The sequence below is a fragment of the Homo sapiens genome, chromosome 3, assembly GCF_000001405.40.
Source record: "Homo sapiens chromosome 3, GRCh38.p14 Primary Assembly".
NCBI lineage: Eukaryota > Metazoa > Chordata > Mammalia > Primates > Hominidae > Homo > Homo sapiens.
Window position 1 is genome coordinate 13,096,494 of NC_000003.12, and position 17,763 is coordinate 13,114,256.

General features: G+C 53.8%; 1 protein-coding gene across 6 annotated transcripts in view, besides 2 other annotated features; it reads right to left on the minus strand.

Annotated features, from left to right (window-relative positions):
- The window catches only part of IQSEC1 (IQ motif and Sec7 domain ArfGEF 1), a 386,215-nt gene that overhangs the window by 199,451 nt on the left and 169,001 nt on the right, over positions 1-17,763 (minus strand). The window lies entirely within an intron of this gene.
- Positions 6,808-7,577: an enhancer, noted in NCBI's record as "H3K4me1 hESC enhancer chr3:13144801-13145570 (GRCh37/hg19 assembly coordinates)". NCBI's record gives its function as "activates a minimal SCP1, AML or CMV promoter by ChIP-STARR-seq in naive H9 embryonic stem cells {active_cell/tissue: H9 hESC(naive)}" and the evidence as "EXISTENCE:reporter gene assay evidence [ECO:0000049][PMID:30033119]".
- Positions 14,140-14,479: an enhancer, noted in NCBI's record as "active region_19484". NCBI's record gives its function as "activates an Ori minimal core promoter by ATAC-STARR-seq in GM12878 lymphoblastoid cells {active_cell/tissue: GM12878}" and the evidence as "EXISTENCE:reporter gene assay evidence [ECO:0000049][PMID:35858748]".

Sequence of the window (17,763 nt, forward strand, 5' to 3'; positions counted from 1 at the left end):
GGCATAGAGGGCAAGACGCTGACTTAGCATTGGGAAGACACCACAGAGGAGGTGCCATATGAGGTGAGTTTTGAAGGATGTATATGAGTTCGCTGTGGCCTGGGGTTTATGTGAAGAAAACACACCCCAGAGAGGAAGGAACATGAGCAAAGGCACGGCAGCCTCCTGGTGCTTCCGAAGACCATGCTGGCAAAGGGCAGCACAGTCCCAGCCACTTGGCTACATACCCAGAATAGCACTGTCACGCTTGAAGGAGGCACAGAAGCTGCCCCAGCTACCCTCCCACCAGTGCTGGGCCTTCGACAGACAACCATCATTTAATGAGCACCTGCTGTGCACCTAAGGCCCTCTCCTAGGCCTTTCTTTCTTTCTTTTTTTTTTTTTTGAAATGGAGTCTCGCTCTGTTGCCCAGGCTGGAGTGCGGTGGCGCGATCTCGGCTCACTGCAAGCTCCACCTCCAGGGTTCACGCCATTCTCCTACCTCAGCCTCCCAAGTAGCTGGGACTACAGGCGCCCGCCACCACGCCTGGCTAATTTTTTGTATTTTTAGTAGAGACGGGGTTTCACCGTGTTAGCCAGGATGGTCTCAATCTCCTGACCTCGTGATCCGCCCACCTCGGCCTCCCAAAGTGCTGGGATTACAGGCATGAGCCACCGCGCCCGGCCTAGGCCTTTCTTTACATGGCATCCCTTCGCCTCTGCAAACCTTCCAGAGGGAAGCGATCGCCCCTGGTTCACAGAAGAGGAAAGCAAGGCTCAGAGAGGGAAGGTACCTTGCCTCCCACACGATTGGAAGAGCTGGGATTCGAATCCAGATCTGCCTGACTCCAGAACAATGCCTTTTTCCCTCCCTGCTTCCAGACGTGGCTCTGGTCCCCTCCAGTCACTGAGTCTCCAGCTTGGCAGCCATACTCCACCTGGCTGTCCACCATAAGCCCTGCAGGTCCTGTGCCCAAGGCTCCCAGACCCTGGCCATGCTCCTGTGTTGGCGTCAACTTTCTGGATTTCACACGGCCTGCCAGCTCGAGCCTCAGTCTTTCCATCTGTGAACCGGGGCTGGGCCCCTCAGCTCTGCAGCCGCCAGCCCCCACCTCCCAACTCCCGCACTCATGCTGTGAACGCCTGATAAACCTCCTCTGGGCCTTTAAGGGCCTTTTATTTCTCCAGCCATGCTTTTCTCTACATTTTAATAAGCTGCTTACAAAATTGGTGATTGATGAGTAAGAATGAGGAGGATGCAGGGCTGAACATTTTTTTTTTCCTGGAATCGCTTCTGGCTGCGCATTCAACTTTAAATTGATTAATAACGTGCAGACCCAACATTAATTATCAACCATTTGTCACTGGGGAAGGCTGGAGCCTGCGCCTGTGTGCAGCCCCTTTCTTCATGACCAGCTCAGTGGTATAGGAGGTGCCCATCTGTCCCACAGGGGTGCATGGAAGGCCCTGGACACTTAAAGCCCTGGCAGCCTCAGCCCACTGTGCCCTGGGCATGTGAGGGCTTCTGAAGGCCAAGCCTGAGCATCTCAGGGCCGACCCCAGATGTCTGGGGCAGTGGTGCCCTCAATGTCTGTCCTGCCCTGTGCTGGCTCATGGCCTTACCTGACCCTAGGTCAGGTCTTCAGGTCCCCAGCAGACCCCAGCATTTCTTCATTAATTCAACAAACATTTATTGAGCAACTATGATGTGCAGCCTTCTTTCTGGAGGCTGACGGCACAGCAGAGATCAAAACAAGGTCCTTGACTTTTTGCAGGGGCAGCCTGGCAATCAATGGAACCAACGAGGAAGCAAACAAATTACAGTCTAGCAAGAATCAGGAATTTTTGGAGCATAGACGGCGAAATCTAACTTAGCATTGGGAAGGTACCACAGAGGAGGCGCCATCTTAAGTGGGTTTTGAAGGATGCAGAGGAGTTCTCTGGGGGTTGGGGGGATAAGTAAAGAAAGCACAACCCCAGAAAGGGAACGGTCTACAAAGAAAAGAAAAGCCAGTAAGAATCAGGAGGGTCAAGAGGAGGGTGAGGGTTTCCACTAAAATAGGAGGATGGAGAGGGCCTCACTGAGAAGGGGGTGAGGGAGGGAGCCAAGGAGATACCTGGAGAAGAGTGTCTGAGGCAGAGGAAACAGCAGTGGAAAGGCTCTGAGCTAGGGGAAAATGGATGGCTAAAAATAACATTATACAATGTGAAAGAAGCCAGTCACACAAGGCCAGTGTATATGGTTCCATTTGTATGGAGAGTCCAGAATGGGCAATTCACTAGAAAAAAGAAAGTAAATTCAAGGTTACCAGGGACTTAGGGGAAGAGGAAGTGGGAAATGACTGCTACTGGGTATACGGTTTCTTTCTGGATGATGAAAATGTCCTAAAACCGACTGTGAAATGGATTCACAACTCTGTGAATACACTAACATCCACGGAATGATACACTTTAAATGAATGAACTTTACAGTATGTAAATTCCAGTAAAGCTGTTACAGAATAACTTTGTCATATGTCAGGTAGCGATCAGTTCCAGAAAAGACATTGGGATAAGAGGACTTTCGGGGGATGGGGGGAACAGGCCGGGTGTCCCCAAAGAGGTGATATTGAAGCAGAGACCTGGGCTGAGCTACAGGTCCAGGAATAGGGTGGTGGCTAGACTAGCCTGTCCCGCACCTGCCACCTGGGGCACCACTGAGTGTAGCCCTGGGGGCCATAGCCCCTGGAGAGGGGTGAGGAGAGGCAAGTGAGACCTTCAGGGAAGTTGAGGCCACAGTGAGGCACATCGGCTATATCAGGGTCCACTAGGGGCACCAGAATATAGCTGGTGGGGCATGGGCAAATGAGGTTTCGGGTGTGCAGGATTGCATTTTATGAGAATTTGACAAATTTAAATCAGCAAGAGTTGCAACATCTCAAAGCTGGTAGGAAAAATGGTTTTTAGGCTCAGGCTACTTTCGAAAGAGTGAAGGTGGTGCTGCTCAGGGCTTACAGGCAATGGTGGACTCCTCCCCCGAGCTGGGTGTCCCCGGGTGCATCTGTGGCCCTCAGAAGCGCCCACCTCACTCAGGCTGGCAGAGCGCGGTGGCCATGGAAACGCAAGCCAGAGTGTGCAAGAATCAAACAGACAGAAGTAAAAGGACCTTACCTATTGCCCGGGGCTGGGGCTCCCTCCTTCATTCTGGGTTTTAGGAAAACAGCCATCATTATTTCCTAAAAGGTGCCCCCTACTCCCCGCCAACCCGGGACAACTTCACATGCCAGGAAAGCCCTCTCTACCTCAAAGCAGTCCCTGTTCAAGCCCCTACCCCCAGCTCCTCTCTCTGTGAAACCACAGCCATCAGTGAAGGGGGCAGTTGCACCTCAGCACCCCTGGCAGAGGGCACGGCATGTGCAAAGGCCCCAAGGGAGCAGTGTGCCTGGTGTGATCCAGGAACAAGGAATCAGGGTGGCTGGAACAGAGGGAGGGATGGAGAGAGCTGGAGGAAAGGAGAGGAGGTCGGAGGTGACGGGGACAGTGGGACAGGCCTTGGAAGGACTCGGCCTTCACTCTGGCGCAGGAGCCTTGGGAGAGTTCCGAGTAGGAGGATGGGAGGAGTCCGCTGGATTTGTGCTGAGAACAGTGGCGTGGCGAGGGCTGCGGGAGCCATGAGAGCAGTGAGGAGGTGGGGCAACTAGGCTTGGGAGAGACTCCGTGGTCCTAACCCCTCAGCTGTGCACAGGGAGTTGGGGGGTGTGGGGAGGTAAATAAGGCAGGTGCAGACCATGGTCCTCCCTCCAAAACAGAAGAATTGGCTGGCTCCTTCCTCTCTTGTTACCACACTCTTCCTACATCTAGGCCTTTGCACACGCTGTTCCTTCTGCTCAGAACACCCTTCCCTCTCTCCTTATCTTCCTGGTGAATGTTCATCCTCAAGTGCCTAACCCCTTGTATGAAGAAGTTACTCTCTCTGCTGGGGTTGGCACCCCAGGGTGGGGTTTCCCTTCCACTCACCTGGAGGGTCTGGGCTTTCAGCATGGACCAACTTCCTGAACACCTCCTTGAGCTCCGCCTCTTGCAGCTAGAGTTGGGACAGCGGCGGGCGCCCAGGCAACTACAAGGTCACTGATTTTCAGGTCAGCGGTTGGGAGTGGGTGAGTGGGAGAAACAGGCACAACGCCACCAAAGCACTGGTAAATCCAGCAAAACCCAGAATTCTGGGCCACGTCAGGTGGCGTCTCCAGCTGAATTCCTGCCGAGCCTCACATTTCGTTCATCGATTAATTCTACAAATGTTCATTGGACACTGGTCTGGGCCATGGGGATTGAGCAGTAAGTAGGAAAGACAGCTTCTGCTGCCACAGCGTCGGGGGGACCGACAGGAAACCCATAAACAAGTGCATACAAAGGATGCTTTGAAAGGCCACTCAGCCAGTGCTGTGAAGATGAAGAGGGGCGGCCAGGGAGGGCCTCCCCGAGAGGCAATCTTTGAATTGAGACCTGAACGAGGCCTGCCATGGGAGGACCTCGAGCAAGAGTGCTCCAGACAGAGAAAACAGCCCATGTGTCTGAAGAGCTGCAAGGGGGCCGAGAGGCTGGGAGGGACTGAGCTGGGAAGAGGAGGTGGAAGAGGGAGGCTGCTGAGGGGAGTGTGGATTTTCTGCTAAGCGCAGCGAGGAGCCATGGGAGGGCTTCAAGCCTGACAGTGACACGATGCGACTTCTGTTTTTAAAAGCACCCTTCTAGGCTGGGCGCGGTGGCTCACGCCTGTAATCCCAGCACTTTGGGAGGCCGAGGTGGGTGGATCATGAGGTCAGAAGATTGAGACCATCCTGGCTAACATGGTGAAACCCCATCTCTACTAAAAATACAAAAAATTAGCCGGGCGTGGTGGCGGGCGTCTCCAATGAGCCGAGATTGAGCCACTGCACTCCAGCCTGGGAGACAGGGTGAGATTCCATCTCCAAAAAAAAAAAAAATGCACCCTTCTACTGTTGAGAGGGCAGAAAGGAACAGAAAGGAAACAAGGAGGTCTGGGAAGGCCCCGGGAAGATGAGCGATGGTGGTGCCTGGCTAGATGGTGGGCTGGCAGGGAGAGGTGCTCAGGCCCAAGTCTGTCTGGAGGGAGCTCCCGGTTTCCACGACAGATTGCAGTGGGTGGGAGAGGAAGGGGAGTCAGGCTGGGCTGCAGGCGGAAGGGCTGGGAAGAGACTCAGAGTCCTGTTTTGGCTGTGTCCAGTATGATGTCTGTGGGGCCTCCAGGTAGAAACATGGAGGAGGCAGCTGGATGGGTAGCAGTGGAGTGGTGAGTGGTACAGGCTGGAGATATAAATTTGGGGCCATCTTTCAATTTTATTGTTTCAGAGATAAACCCTGATGAAGTCCAGGAATCAATAAACAGAGACTAACACTGGCCTCCTTCCCCATCCAGATCCTGGGAGAGGATTTCACGAGTTAAGTGCTTTGAAACTGACTCTGGCCTTGCAGGGGTGGGAGGGAGGGTGTGCAGTGAGCCAGGGGCCCACTCATGAGCCATCGATTAATAAACTCTGCCCGCTCATGCCTGTAATCTCAGCACTTTGGGAGGCTGAGGCAAGTGGATCGCTTGAGCCCAGGAGTTTGAGACCAGCCTGGGCAATGTGGCGAGACCCTGTCTCTACAAAAAATGCAAAAATTAGTCAGGCATGGTGATGTGCATCTGTAGTCCTGGCTACTCAGGAGGCTGAGGTGGAAGGATTGCTTGAGCCCAGGAGATCAATGATGGAGCCCAGGAGTCAGTGATGGAGCCACTGACTCCAGCCTGGGTGATGGAGCAAGAACTTGTCTCAAAATAATAATAATAATAATAAATAACCTCTGCCTTCCATGCGAACAAACACCCATCCTAGAGCCTGAGACTGGGATGGGCTGGGGAGCGGAGGCCTGGGCCCAGCCCCATGTTGGGGCTGCCGGGGTTGGTGTTGGTGGGGGGCTGGATTAGAGGCTGGATTTCCTCACCCGTGTGGTTTGGGCCCATGGTTTCCTTCTCTGAGCTTCTGTTTGCTCATCTGAGTAATAGGCGTGAAAACCTGTGCTTCACGGGGGTCTGGCAGGAGGAAAGGAGCAGGTGTGAGCCCATGGTTCTCCACAGCACTGTCCTTCCCCGGTCGGGTGGGGATTGGGGATTTGAAGATATTTATTGGTAACCACGGAGCTCCCCTCACGTCACATGCTCCCACTGTCAACTGCAGGCCACAGGTCCCACCCTCCAGGCCTTTGCATGTGCAGCCTTCCCTGCTTGGATGCCCTCCCTGGCACTCCACTGTCAGCAGACTTGCTTGCTTGCCACTAAAATGTAAGCTCCAGGAGGCGGGTACTGAGCACAGCTCGTTCACGGCTGCACCCCTGGTGCTGAGGGCTGTGCCTGCCACGGCCCACATATTACTGCATTTAGTCCTTACAACCACCCTGGGAGGTCGGAAGTTTCCAGATGAGAAAACTGAGAGCTGAAGACAATTGGCACCTTGTCCAGCTCAGCCCCGTCAGAGGTGGCAGAGAGGGGCTCAGATCAGGTGCTTGGTGCCCCCCTACCTCAACCTGTGGGCTGGATGTCGGAAGGGACTCTGACTTCTGCGCAGGGATGCAGCTTGCTCCCATGCTCTGAAGTAGAGCCAGGGCCCCAGGGCTCTGCCCCAGCCCCTCCCTGGCCCATGTCCCCGGCTGGCCCCAGGCAGGTCAGTTCAGGGAAGGGGCCTGCATCGAACTCTCGCCACCTCCCTAAGCCAGAGCTGTCTGCTTGCTCAGATATCATCAGCTTCCCATTAAGCAGATCAATAGCTTCCACTGGTTTCCAATTTGTGTTTCCAGAAATTCATCTCCCAGCCACCTTTTTAATTAACCGCCCCCGCCAACACACCCGAGGCACCAATAGATCACCCTCTCCCCTCCACCTCTGTGGACCACAGACCACTAGCTCCACCAGCCTCGGGGGAGTGGCAGGTGTGTTTAAAGCTGTATGATCACCATCCTCAGTCACTGGAAGAGCTGGCCGTGCTGCCTGGATGCCATCCACACCTGTCCCCGAGGAAGGGGCTGGGCCCTTCACCATGAGGAAAACCAAGAATCAGGGAGGCCAAGCAGCAGCTGGCAAGAGCCAGAGCCGAGTGTGCCATTGGGGTGGGCAATTTGCAGGATGAGCTTCACATGCAGCACGCACTGGGGGTCTGGCTGGCAGGGGAGCGGGGCTGGCAGCTGTGATTTCAGAGCAGGGGAAGGTTGGAGGCCTGACCCCCAGAGGGTGCGCCTCCTACCCCTGGGAGCTCCCCGGTATTCCATGTTGCCTACCACCCTACGAGGGCAGGGGCTGTGTCTGCCTCCATCACTGCTCTCTCCCCAGCGTGCGGCACATAGTAGGTGCTCAGTAAGTCACTAAATGAGCAGCAATATTTGCCAAAACTTAGGACATTACCTTTGTGCCAGGTATTCTTCTATTTAATCTTCACGGCACTCCCTGAGGTGGGTGCTACTAGTATCTTCATTTTATAGATGGGAAAACTCAGGCACAGAGAGTTTCAATGACTTGCCCAAGGTCACACAACTAGTTAGTCATGGAGCTGAGATTCGAACCCAGGCCATCTGTCTCTAGAGCTGTTGCTACTAATCGCCCCACTCTTCCTTACCTGCTCCCCATGGCCTGTCAGCTCCGATGGGCAAGGACTGGGTCCTGTGCCTGGTGTAACTTCTGTCACACACAAACATAGCATGTTTGCTGAGTGAATAAATGGTGACTTCTGCACTCCCTGCTTCCCAAAACAACCTAGTTGACCAGTCTGTTGGGGCAAATCTAGAGTATTTCATCTGGAAATGAAGGGAAGAGATGGGGTGAGTCCCCTGGGTGACCCTGGGGTGACAAGCCTCCCAGTGAGTACACTGCTGGGGCCAACATTAGGGACCCTCTAATTCCACTTCCATCTTCCTTTTCACCCATCCCTTACATTTCTGGGCTCTCTGTAGTCTATACAAAAATACATTCACAGCCATGATGTTGTTATTCTGCGGACTCTTGCAGCTTTCCAGCCAGGCAAGTAGATTTCCACCGCTGACCCAGCACTCGGAACAGGGACCACCTGGGTGCCATCCTCTTTCCCCTGTGCACGCTGGGGCCACATCTTAGCAGTTTCATCTCCAAGTCTCCCTCCCCCACCTCTCCCCCTCCGGTGGCCCTGGCTCCGGACTCAGCTGCTCTCACGGGACCCCAGGTGCAGGGCCCATCATGGCCCCTTCCTCTTCACCCCTCACTCCGGCCACTAGCGGACGCTAACCCAACAACCAACTAGGTCCTGCCTGGCCCCTGACCCATGTGAGGGGCTGTAGGAGCCAGGTCTGCAGGGGTTGGTCGGGGGGTGAAACAAGCAGCGTGTGCTGCGGCAGGACCAGGATGAAGATCATGGCTCTCTTCTAACCAGGAAGGAACCAGCCCAGGGCTGCTAGATTTTCTCAGCTGTGGAGAGAAGACGAAGCCCAGTGTTTAACCTGAAATCTTCCGGTTTGCCAATGCTAGTAGTTGATTACATGATCACATTTAAAAAGTCATTTTACTTTTAAAACACATGCTGCAGGCCAGGGGCAGTCTGTCGGCTGCTAGTTTGTGACTTCTGCCCTGTGCAGTGTGAACTCTCTGGCTCGGCATTCAAGGTCTTTCATGGTCTGGCCCCTTTGAGCCCACAAGGAACCTCTACACGGGACAACACTTCTGTGTCTCCAACACCCTCTACTCAGAACAGCACTGTTCCTCTAGGAAGTGGGCCCTGATCCCCTCCCCTCCAGGGGACTCTACCACTCTCTACTTCACACCCATCTGGTCTCCTGACCAGGCCTCCACAGCCAGGGGCAGAGCGAGGCCTGGAGTCCAGGGTCCTGGCCACACATCCCAGGGTTCTCCCGCTGTCCTCTGGGATGGCCAGCAGACAGATGCCGCTCAGGGACAGCCACCCGCTCCCACCAGTCCCACCCCTGCCGGCAGGGACAGAACCTCTGGCTTTGAGAAAACCAAGAAAAATCAGGGGCATGGTGAATCCTGAAAAACACGTGGAAGCTGGCAGTTGCATTTTAAAATATTACCCAGTTAACAAAATCAACAGCCTCCATGCACACACACACACTCTCCTTCCCTCCACTGCCCCTCCATCCCCTCCTCTCTGTATCACGGGCATCTAAGAGTCCCCCTAGAGCCATTCTCCCTCCTCTAGCCTCAGCAGGGCCCATGACTGACCAGTGAAAGACTGCATTTCCCAGCCTCCCTCCTCGTGAAGAGTAGCCATGAGACTGAATTCTGGCCATGGGGATGTGTGCAGCATCTGAGTCACACCCTCTGTCCCCTCTCCATGTGGGGAGGTGGCAAATCAGCCTCCACCCCTAAGGGATGGCTGGCCTGCAGCATGTGGCTTAAAATTAAAATGATTTTTAAATGTGATCATGTTATCACCTACTAGCACTGGCAAATAGAAGATTTCAGGCGAAACGCTGGGCTTTGTCTTCTCTCCATAGCTGAGAAAATCCGGCAGCCCTGGGCTGGTTCCTTCCTGGTTAGAGGAGCGCTATGATGGAGGTGGAGCCACCAATAGAGGGAGCCTGGGTTCCTGGGTGACTCTGTGGAGCAGAGCCCCCCAGCTTCCCAGGCTGCCTGCTTCCTCTGCATTCTGAACAGAGAGAGGAATCCATATCCAGCTACTGCCCAGAAGCCTTCCATAATCTCAGCCTGGGAAAGCTCAACCCATGAAACTAGACTTCTCCAGGAAGCCTCCCCGTTTCCCCTCCCCTCCCCAGCACCTTCCTGGGCTCCCACTGCCCACACTCCATTGTGACTCTCTACCTCCCCCAGGCCTCAGCCACTGCCTGCTTGGCAGCTCCTTGGGACCCAGGACCCTGGAGTCCCCTTCTTATTTGGGGACTCAGCTTGAGACCTGGGGTAATCAGAGTCTCTGTTCCGAGCACTTGCTATATGTCAGGTGTGGTTCTAAGCTCTTTATCTCATGTAATCCTGAGGCCAAGCCCATGAAATTGTACAGATGAGGGAACCTGAGGCCAAGTGACATGCCCCGAATCACATAGGAGTAGGAGACAGAGAAGACTTAAACTTAGGCCATCTGGTGTCAGAGCTCCCTGCCCTTAACCCTTAGGCAGCACTGCCTCTCCACAGAACAAGGCTGATCCACATTGAGTGGATGAATAATAAATAGTGCATGAATCAATGAATGGGCACTGCCCTCCTCCTGCGGCTCCATGGGTTAGTGCAGGGCTGAACCCTGAGTACACACTCAAAACATGCTTATAAAGTGAGCAACTGAGCAAACATCCTGGGTGGACGATTGTTTTTGGAAGATATCATCTCTTTGGAGTTTATGACCTTAAAATCGTTAACATACATTTTTCTATCCAAAATACATCATTTTAAGACTGTTTGAGAAGAGACACCACATGCCAGCTCCACGGCCCATTAAAGTTAACCAACTGTGCAGATTTTGTGGGAATGATGAAAATAGTAAAAGACTTGGGTGGTTTTCTAGAATGGCTTAAATCATCATGAAATGCCAAGGAAAAGTAACAGTGAACTTGTGAGACACCACAAAGCTGGCAGAACCCTGGCCGTATCTCATGGCCCGTGTCCTTTTTGATGTGGAGAAGGCACAGAGTGGCTCTGGTGACCACCAGGGACAGAAACCTGGGGGCCTCCATCCACTCCCGAGAGATGTCTATAGACTGTAGGATCTGCACAAGAGGTATTCCTGAAACCAGAAGACCCATGCACAGATGGTCAGGGCAGAGGCTAGAGAAAAACAAAGCCCTTTCCTACTTACAAGCTTTGAGGTCTAGATCCTCTATAAATTATTCAGGCAAGTTAAGGCAGCGGCCATTGCCAACAGGACCATGCCCCCTGCGGTTGCTATAGTTAATTAAGTGCCTACTATACAGCACGCAGTGTTAGATGCTTCCGAGATGTTTAATCTTTCCAGTACCAGTTCTGGCAAGTGTCATCTCCATATTACACATGGAGAAACAGGCTCAGAGCGGTTAAGTCACTTGCCCAAGGCCACAGAGCTGGTAAGTGGCAGATTTCAGATTTCAACCAAGGCTGGTTTCATCATACACATTCCAAGAAGAGGCTTTGCTCAGCACCAAGTTGGAACCCAAAATACAACAACAGGTATAATTTCTACTGGCATCATGGTGGTCTATAACCTCTTCCCAGTGGGCCCCATTTCCCTAGGCCCGAGACCCTGGTGGGGACCACTCAATTGACCAGCAGAATCCCGCCCCTGGGCCGCTGGGTCTCATGATCCAGTTAAGCCCCAGTGGGCACAGACACGGTGATGCGGTCCTTGCTTCAAAATCAGGCCAGCCATACATGTCCGGAACGCCCAGCGGCCTGCTCCCTCCCCAGGGCACTTGCTGAGCTCATGCCTGCTGCACACCAGCCTGGCCAGCCATGGCCTGAGTGAGCTCCGGACTCCAGCCCAGAGGGCGCCGGGGAGCAGCCCCGCATGCTGCCACTCGTATCTTATGGCTATTTACACCTAGCAAACAAAAAAATTATAAAAAAGCATAAAGGAAAAAAAAGAATCACTCATAACCCCACCGCCTGGAACCCACCAGTCTACCTTTCTGCGAATTTCCCCAGGGGATTGTTTTTCCGTAATTGATGTCCACGCTATAGAGTTTTTAGCTTTGCCTTCCACTTTGTTCACTGACCATTATTTCACAAACATTCTTTCCCCTCATTTTTTAAAACCCTAATTTCTAACAACGCCCTTATACCCACACATGTGGCTGTAATATAAATCATGACATGGAATCCCTAAGTTTTGTTATTGCTAACATTTTGTGATCATAAAGCAGTGTGGTGAGGCATTTTCTTATTTTTATCTAGTGGATTTCCTTCAGGAACATTTCAAGAAGCAGAATTATGGGTGGAAACATGTGGCCATTTTTGGGGCTCTCAGTGCAAGCGCCTGCACTGCCTTCCAGACACCACGTCCCATTTGTATCTCCACCAGCGGCAATGGGCATGCACATTCTATTTTTTTTTTTAGCCACATAGCACTCATGTTTCCTCTTGCCAAGATTCTCCTTTTGACGAAACACCCCCCTACATTGTGAGCTAGACTTGGTGGGCAAGTCAGCCAAGGCCCTGGGTGGACAAACTCATCCCTCTGAGTTTGGAATCCTGAGCTGAGTGGCTCCAGGGTAGAAAACCCAGCAGCAACCTCATTGCTCCTGTGTGTTTGCCATTTGGGTCTGCTTAGCATGGACAAAACTTAAAAACACATCAGTGAATCAAAAAGGGTAAGTCGCAACCAGATAAGCATCATCTGAGAGAATGTGTGTAAATCTCACAAATAAAACAGAAGCCTGTGGATCACACAGCCCCTCTGCTGGAGATGGGGTAGGGGGACCTGCAGGTCATGGCCCCCGAGTGAAACGTCTTGAAGGCAAATGCGGTAAACAGTGGACAGGACATCAGTCAGAGACAGTGTGGCCTCTACAAGTTCAGGCATCACATGGTCAATGCGTCCTGGGGCCTGGCCATGGATGCATGCGTCCAAACAGCTCCCAGAGGCAGCTCCAGTGGCCTCCAACCACCAACATGGAAGGGGATGGCCAGAGCGTGGGCAGAATGACTCTCACTGGGGAATCGCGGGGTGGTGTACAGGCATTACCGAGGGACTGGCATGCGCAATGCTGCATGGTGAAGGTGGAGGCTGTGACATAAGGACGGTCCACCTGGGGGAGGGTGGGGAAGCTATGAGCAGCCGAGGCCCCCCTCCTCCCTCCCATTCTCCCACCACTCTTTTTTCTTCTTCTTTTTCTTTCTTAAAAGAAGAGAGATGAAGGAAATAAGGTGAAATACAAATACCAGCCAATCTGGGTGGTGAGTGTGTGGATAGACAGAGCCCTCGATCAGGTAACCTGAGCTCATATCCAAGCTCTGCCACTCCCCGGGTCCAAAACTGCTTAAAGAAACTGCACCTGCCCCCAGAGGCTGTGATATTTGTCCCCACCCAAATCTCATGTTGAAATGTCATCCCCAATGCTGGAGGTGGGGCCTGCTGGGTGGTGTTTGGGTCATACGGGTGGATCCCTCATGCTTGATGCTGTCTTCCTGATAGTGAGTTCTGGCAAGATCCGGTCATTTAGAGGTGTGTGACCCTCCTCTCTCTCTCCTGCTCCCCTCTCCTCCCCTGCCCTTTCTCTTCCTTCACCTTCCACCATGAGTGGAAGCTCCCTGAGGCCTCCCTAGAAGCTGAGCAGATGCCACCATGCTTCCCGTATAGCCTGCAGAACCATGAGCTGATTAAACCTTTTTTTTTTTTTAAATAAATTACCCAGTCTCAGGAATTTCTTTATAGCGGTGCAAGAATGGCCTAATACAGGCTGTTACAAGGGATAAATTCTTTTTTTTTTTTTTTTTTGAGACGGAGTCTAGCTGTCGCTCAGGCTTGAGTGCAGTGGCGTGATCTCGGCTCACTGTAACCTCCACCTCCCAGGTTCAAGCGATTCTCCTGCCTCAGCCTCCCCAGTAGCTGAGATTACAGATGGGCACCACCACACCCGGCTAGTTTTTGTATTTTTAGTAGAGAGAAGGTTTCCCATGTTGGCCAGGCTGGTCTCGAACTCCTGACCTCAGGCAATCTGCCTGCCTTGGCCCCCCAAAGTGCTGGGATTACAGGCGTGAGCCACGGTACCCGGCTGGATTAAATTCGTTTTTGTTTATGAAGTGCTTAGAATGGTGCCGGGCATATAGGAGGTGTTATAGCAGTATTAGGCTATCATTTTTATTTTCCGTAGGCCTGAAACATTTTGTAGTTAAAGAAACCCGGCCGGGCGCGGTGGCTCACACCTGAAATCCCAGCACTTTGGGAGGCCAAGGCGGGAGGATCACGAGGTCAGGAGATCGAGACCACCTTAGCCAACATGGTGAAATCCCGTCTCTACTAAAAATACAAAGATTAGCTAGGCGTGGTGGTGCATGCCTGTAATCCCAACTACTTGGGAGGCTGAGGCAGGAGAATCGTTTGAACCCGGGAGGCCGAGGTTGCAGCGAGCCGAGATCGCGCCATTGCACTCCAGCCTGGCAACAGAGCGAGACTTCGTTTCAACCAAACTGTCCTGACTCTGTCTTCCACAGGCCTGATTCTGCACACCCACCACACCCCTTACCACCTGAGCCTGACATCTCACTCTGGCCTTCTTGAACACAAAAGCCCTGCCTGCTACCTTGGGGACACAGGGGCTTTCCAGGCTGCTGAGCATCTGCAAGAGCCAGCTTCCCCAGCCTCAGCCGCCTGAGATTTATGCTCTGCACTTCCTGTCACGGGTGTGGAGATTTACACTGGGTGAGTCGGGACACCAATTAAAGGGCCGAAGTAAATGAACCCTGTCTTAAAGAGCTTACCCAGGAAACAGACAGCCAGCTCAGCAGTAAACAATGACGATGCCTGGGGGGAATTACCGCACCAGCTGTCACCCCCATAAGAAAAAACAGGGTGGTTGGAGGAGCATGAAGATGAGAGTTCAGAAAGTGGGTGAGAAACTAAGAGGAACGGCCAGGGCCCCTGCCACCCAGCAAAGTGCGCCAGAGAGTGCTCATGCCCACTGCCCCAGCACAGCTCCTGCCCTGCAGAGGCTGGAGAGCAAAACACTGCATTTCCCAGGTACCATACAGCTGAGTCTGGGAGGAGAGTTCTGTCCTGACTTACGTTTTCTGATCCTCAGCCCACCTCCCCAGTGTGCCCAGGGCTCACCACACCCCACTAGCTTGGCTCCTTCCTGCTTCTCATTAGAGAGAGCTGTAATGCCTAAGTGAGGTGAGGCTACTGCTCTGCTACCTTGGCAGCCTCGTGGGTGGTGAGGGGCTGCTGGTGGCTTTCTCATCCTTAGACTGACAGCCTCCTGACCCCACCTTCCTGATGGGGCCGAGGCTGCAGCTCGCTGGCCAGGCCAGTTCTGCAGGGCTATTCTGGGATTGTTCCTGGAGGCCCTCCAAGAGTCTGTACCTGCAAACTTCCCACTGCGGGTAAGCACCTGACCCCTGGGCTAAACTCCTTCTAATTGAGAGCTGAGTGTTAGGGACTGAATGTTTGTGTTCCTTTAGAATTCATATGCTGAAGCCCTAACCCCCAATGTGACAGTATTTGGGGGTGGGGCCTTTGGGAGGTGATTACGCTGAGATGAGGTCATGGGAGTAGAGTCCCCATGATGATATCAGTGTCCTCATAAGAAGAAAAAGAGGCATCAAACTTCCCTCTCTCTGCCATGTGAGGACACAGCGAGAAGGCAGCCGTCTGTGAACCAGGAAAAAGGCACTCGCCAGGAACCCAATCCACCAGCAACCTGACCTTGATCTTGGACTTTCAGCCTCCAGAACTGAGAAATATATTCCCGTAGTTTAAGCCCCCACAAGTCTCCAGTAGATTATTATAGGACTCCCAGCAGACTAATACACTGGGTGATTTTGTTTTCTACAGCATCCCCTGCCATTGCCCTGGACAGCCCTCCCATCTCCTCTCCTTGCCCCAGCCCCTGCACCCTCATTGCTGTTCCCTGCACTTGCCCGCTTTGCACACGCTGTTCCCCTGGTGGGCTGCCCTGCCTTCCATCTCCCAGCTGGACTCCTACTCAGCCTCCAAGGCACCTGAACTGTCACCTCCCCTGGAGCCATTCCTGACATCTGTAACCCTAATGCAAACACACAGAGGGAGTTAGCGGCTTCCTCCTGGCCCCTGCTCTAAGTTCAACATTCACCACGGCAGGTGCCTGGAAGGACTCCCATGCTGGAGCTCTGCAGTGGACAGGGCAGCAAGCGCGGAGGTCACTAGCCAGCCCAGCCAAACCAGCTGGGTGACCTTGGGCAATTCCCCGACCTCTCCCTCTGAAAAGGGAGGCAAGACTGGTAACACCTGCCAACAGTCCGGAAGAGTCCCCGGCACATGTGCAGTGCTGCATGGGAGGTGGCGCTCACTCTCAGTGAGAGGGACTGACAACCAATCAACAAAGAGACGTCCGGAAAAAGCTCTGCCCAGCCCTGAGAGCCAGGAAGAGGACAGTCTGTCTAGGGTGGTCAGGGAGGGCTTCCCAGGGAGGGCACTGCGTGCTGGCCCCCAGGCACCTCTGAGCACCTGCCATGGTGGATGCGGCAGGAGCCTCGCACAGACAGTGGGCCAGGTGGTCCCGCAGCAGAGTGTGGGCTGCAGGGCCAGGGAGCTGCCTGCTGGCCTGCAGCTTTGGGTACGGGGGCGAGCAGGCCCACCTGCCCCTATGCCCCTCCCCTGACCTGGCCACACAGGCCTGACCACAGGGCCCAGGTGACACACGGAGGAGGAAGCCTGAATGACTCTGGAGGCTCCCACGAGTGGAAGCCACCACTGAGGTTCACGTCGTCACTGAGGCCAGGCCAGGGAGAGCCTGGTGAGACATGAGACAATGCTGTCACATGAATCAGTTCTGAATGTGCCAAATTTCATTCTGCTGTGATTAAAAAGCGGCTGGCGCATCATAAACTCACTGTGAGCATCAGTCACCGGGTCGCAAGCAGACACGCCTAGAGCTGCTCTGGGAGCTGCTGCTCTTTCCAGGCTCCTGCTGCATGCCTGGTGTGGCAGGTGTGGGCTGCCACTAGCTGCCTTACAGTGAGGAGACAGAAGCCCAGAGAGGGCAAGTAATCAGCTGAGGTCACACAGCTTGGGGGAAGCAGAGAGAGGGATGTGAATCTTGGTCGGCTGCCCCTTTGCCTTGGTCTGGGGGAGGCAAAAAAAAGTGCTAGTCAGGAAGGGCTGATTGATGCTGAAGCTGGGGACCAGGGTGGGTTCAATATGGAAGAGGCAGCAGGTAAACACATAGGCCCTGAGGCCAATCTGCTCACCCCTTACTGCTGTGTGATATTGGCCAGCCCCTTGACCTCTCTGGGCCTCAGCCTGTGCATCTGTGAAGTGGGGATGACGCTTGCCCACCCAGGGTGCTGTGTGAAGATGAGGGAAGTTGCAGCAGTGCAGCACCTAGAGGAGAGCTTGGCACACAGCAAGAAGCCTGCACCTGCCGCCCCTCAGGACTGTTTCCTGGGGTGGGCACTGCCCTGGGCATAGGGAGGTGGGGCGCGGAGAGAAGACGAGGCCTCCACCCTCTGGGAGGGGAGGAGAAGTGCATGCGGCGGTGGGAATGTGAGGCAGTGGTGATGGTGTGAGGGGCCAAGAGCCTCCTACACTGTCGAGAACGGTCACCAGGGCAGCCCCCAGCGTGGGCCGCATGGCAGGGGCTACTCAAACGACAGGAGTGTGCCCGCACTCTGGCCAGGCCATCCCGTCTTGGTGGCTACAACACGGAACTGTTCACACGTGTGCCTAGCTGTTGGTGAAAGCGAAACAGTGGAAGCACCCCGATGGCCATCCATGGCGGACTGGCTAAAATGTGCTACAGTGCCTTTGCTAAGTTGCAGGTCACCAAATGACTCATGTCAAAACGTGCTGGGAGCACAGAGCCAACTGCAGAAGTCTCCACATACGATGAGACTCTGTTCACGAGAAAAGAAAGCTTACATGGGATACAGTAGGCTTAGCGTGTGCACACACTGTTGATGCAAATGCACAGAAGATTCTGGAAGGAAATGCTCCAGACATGACAGCAGACACCTGTGCTGAGGGGCCAGGCTGGGCCAGAAGTGACTTCAGCCTCATTTTGGCTTGAATGAGTCTGAAGGAGAACCCACGCATGTGCTGCTGATTACACCTGCAGGATGCGGGTGGGGATACAGAATTGGTGGTGTTTTTCTCG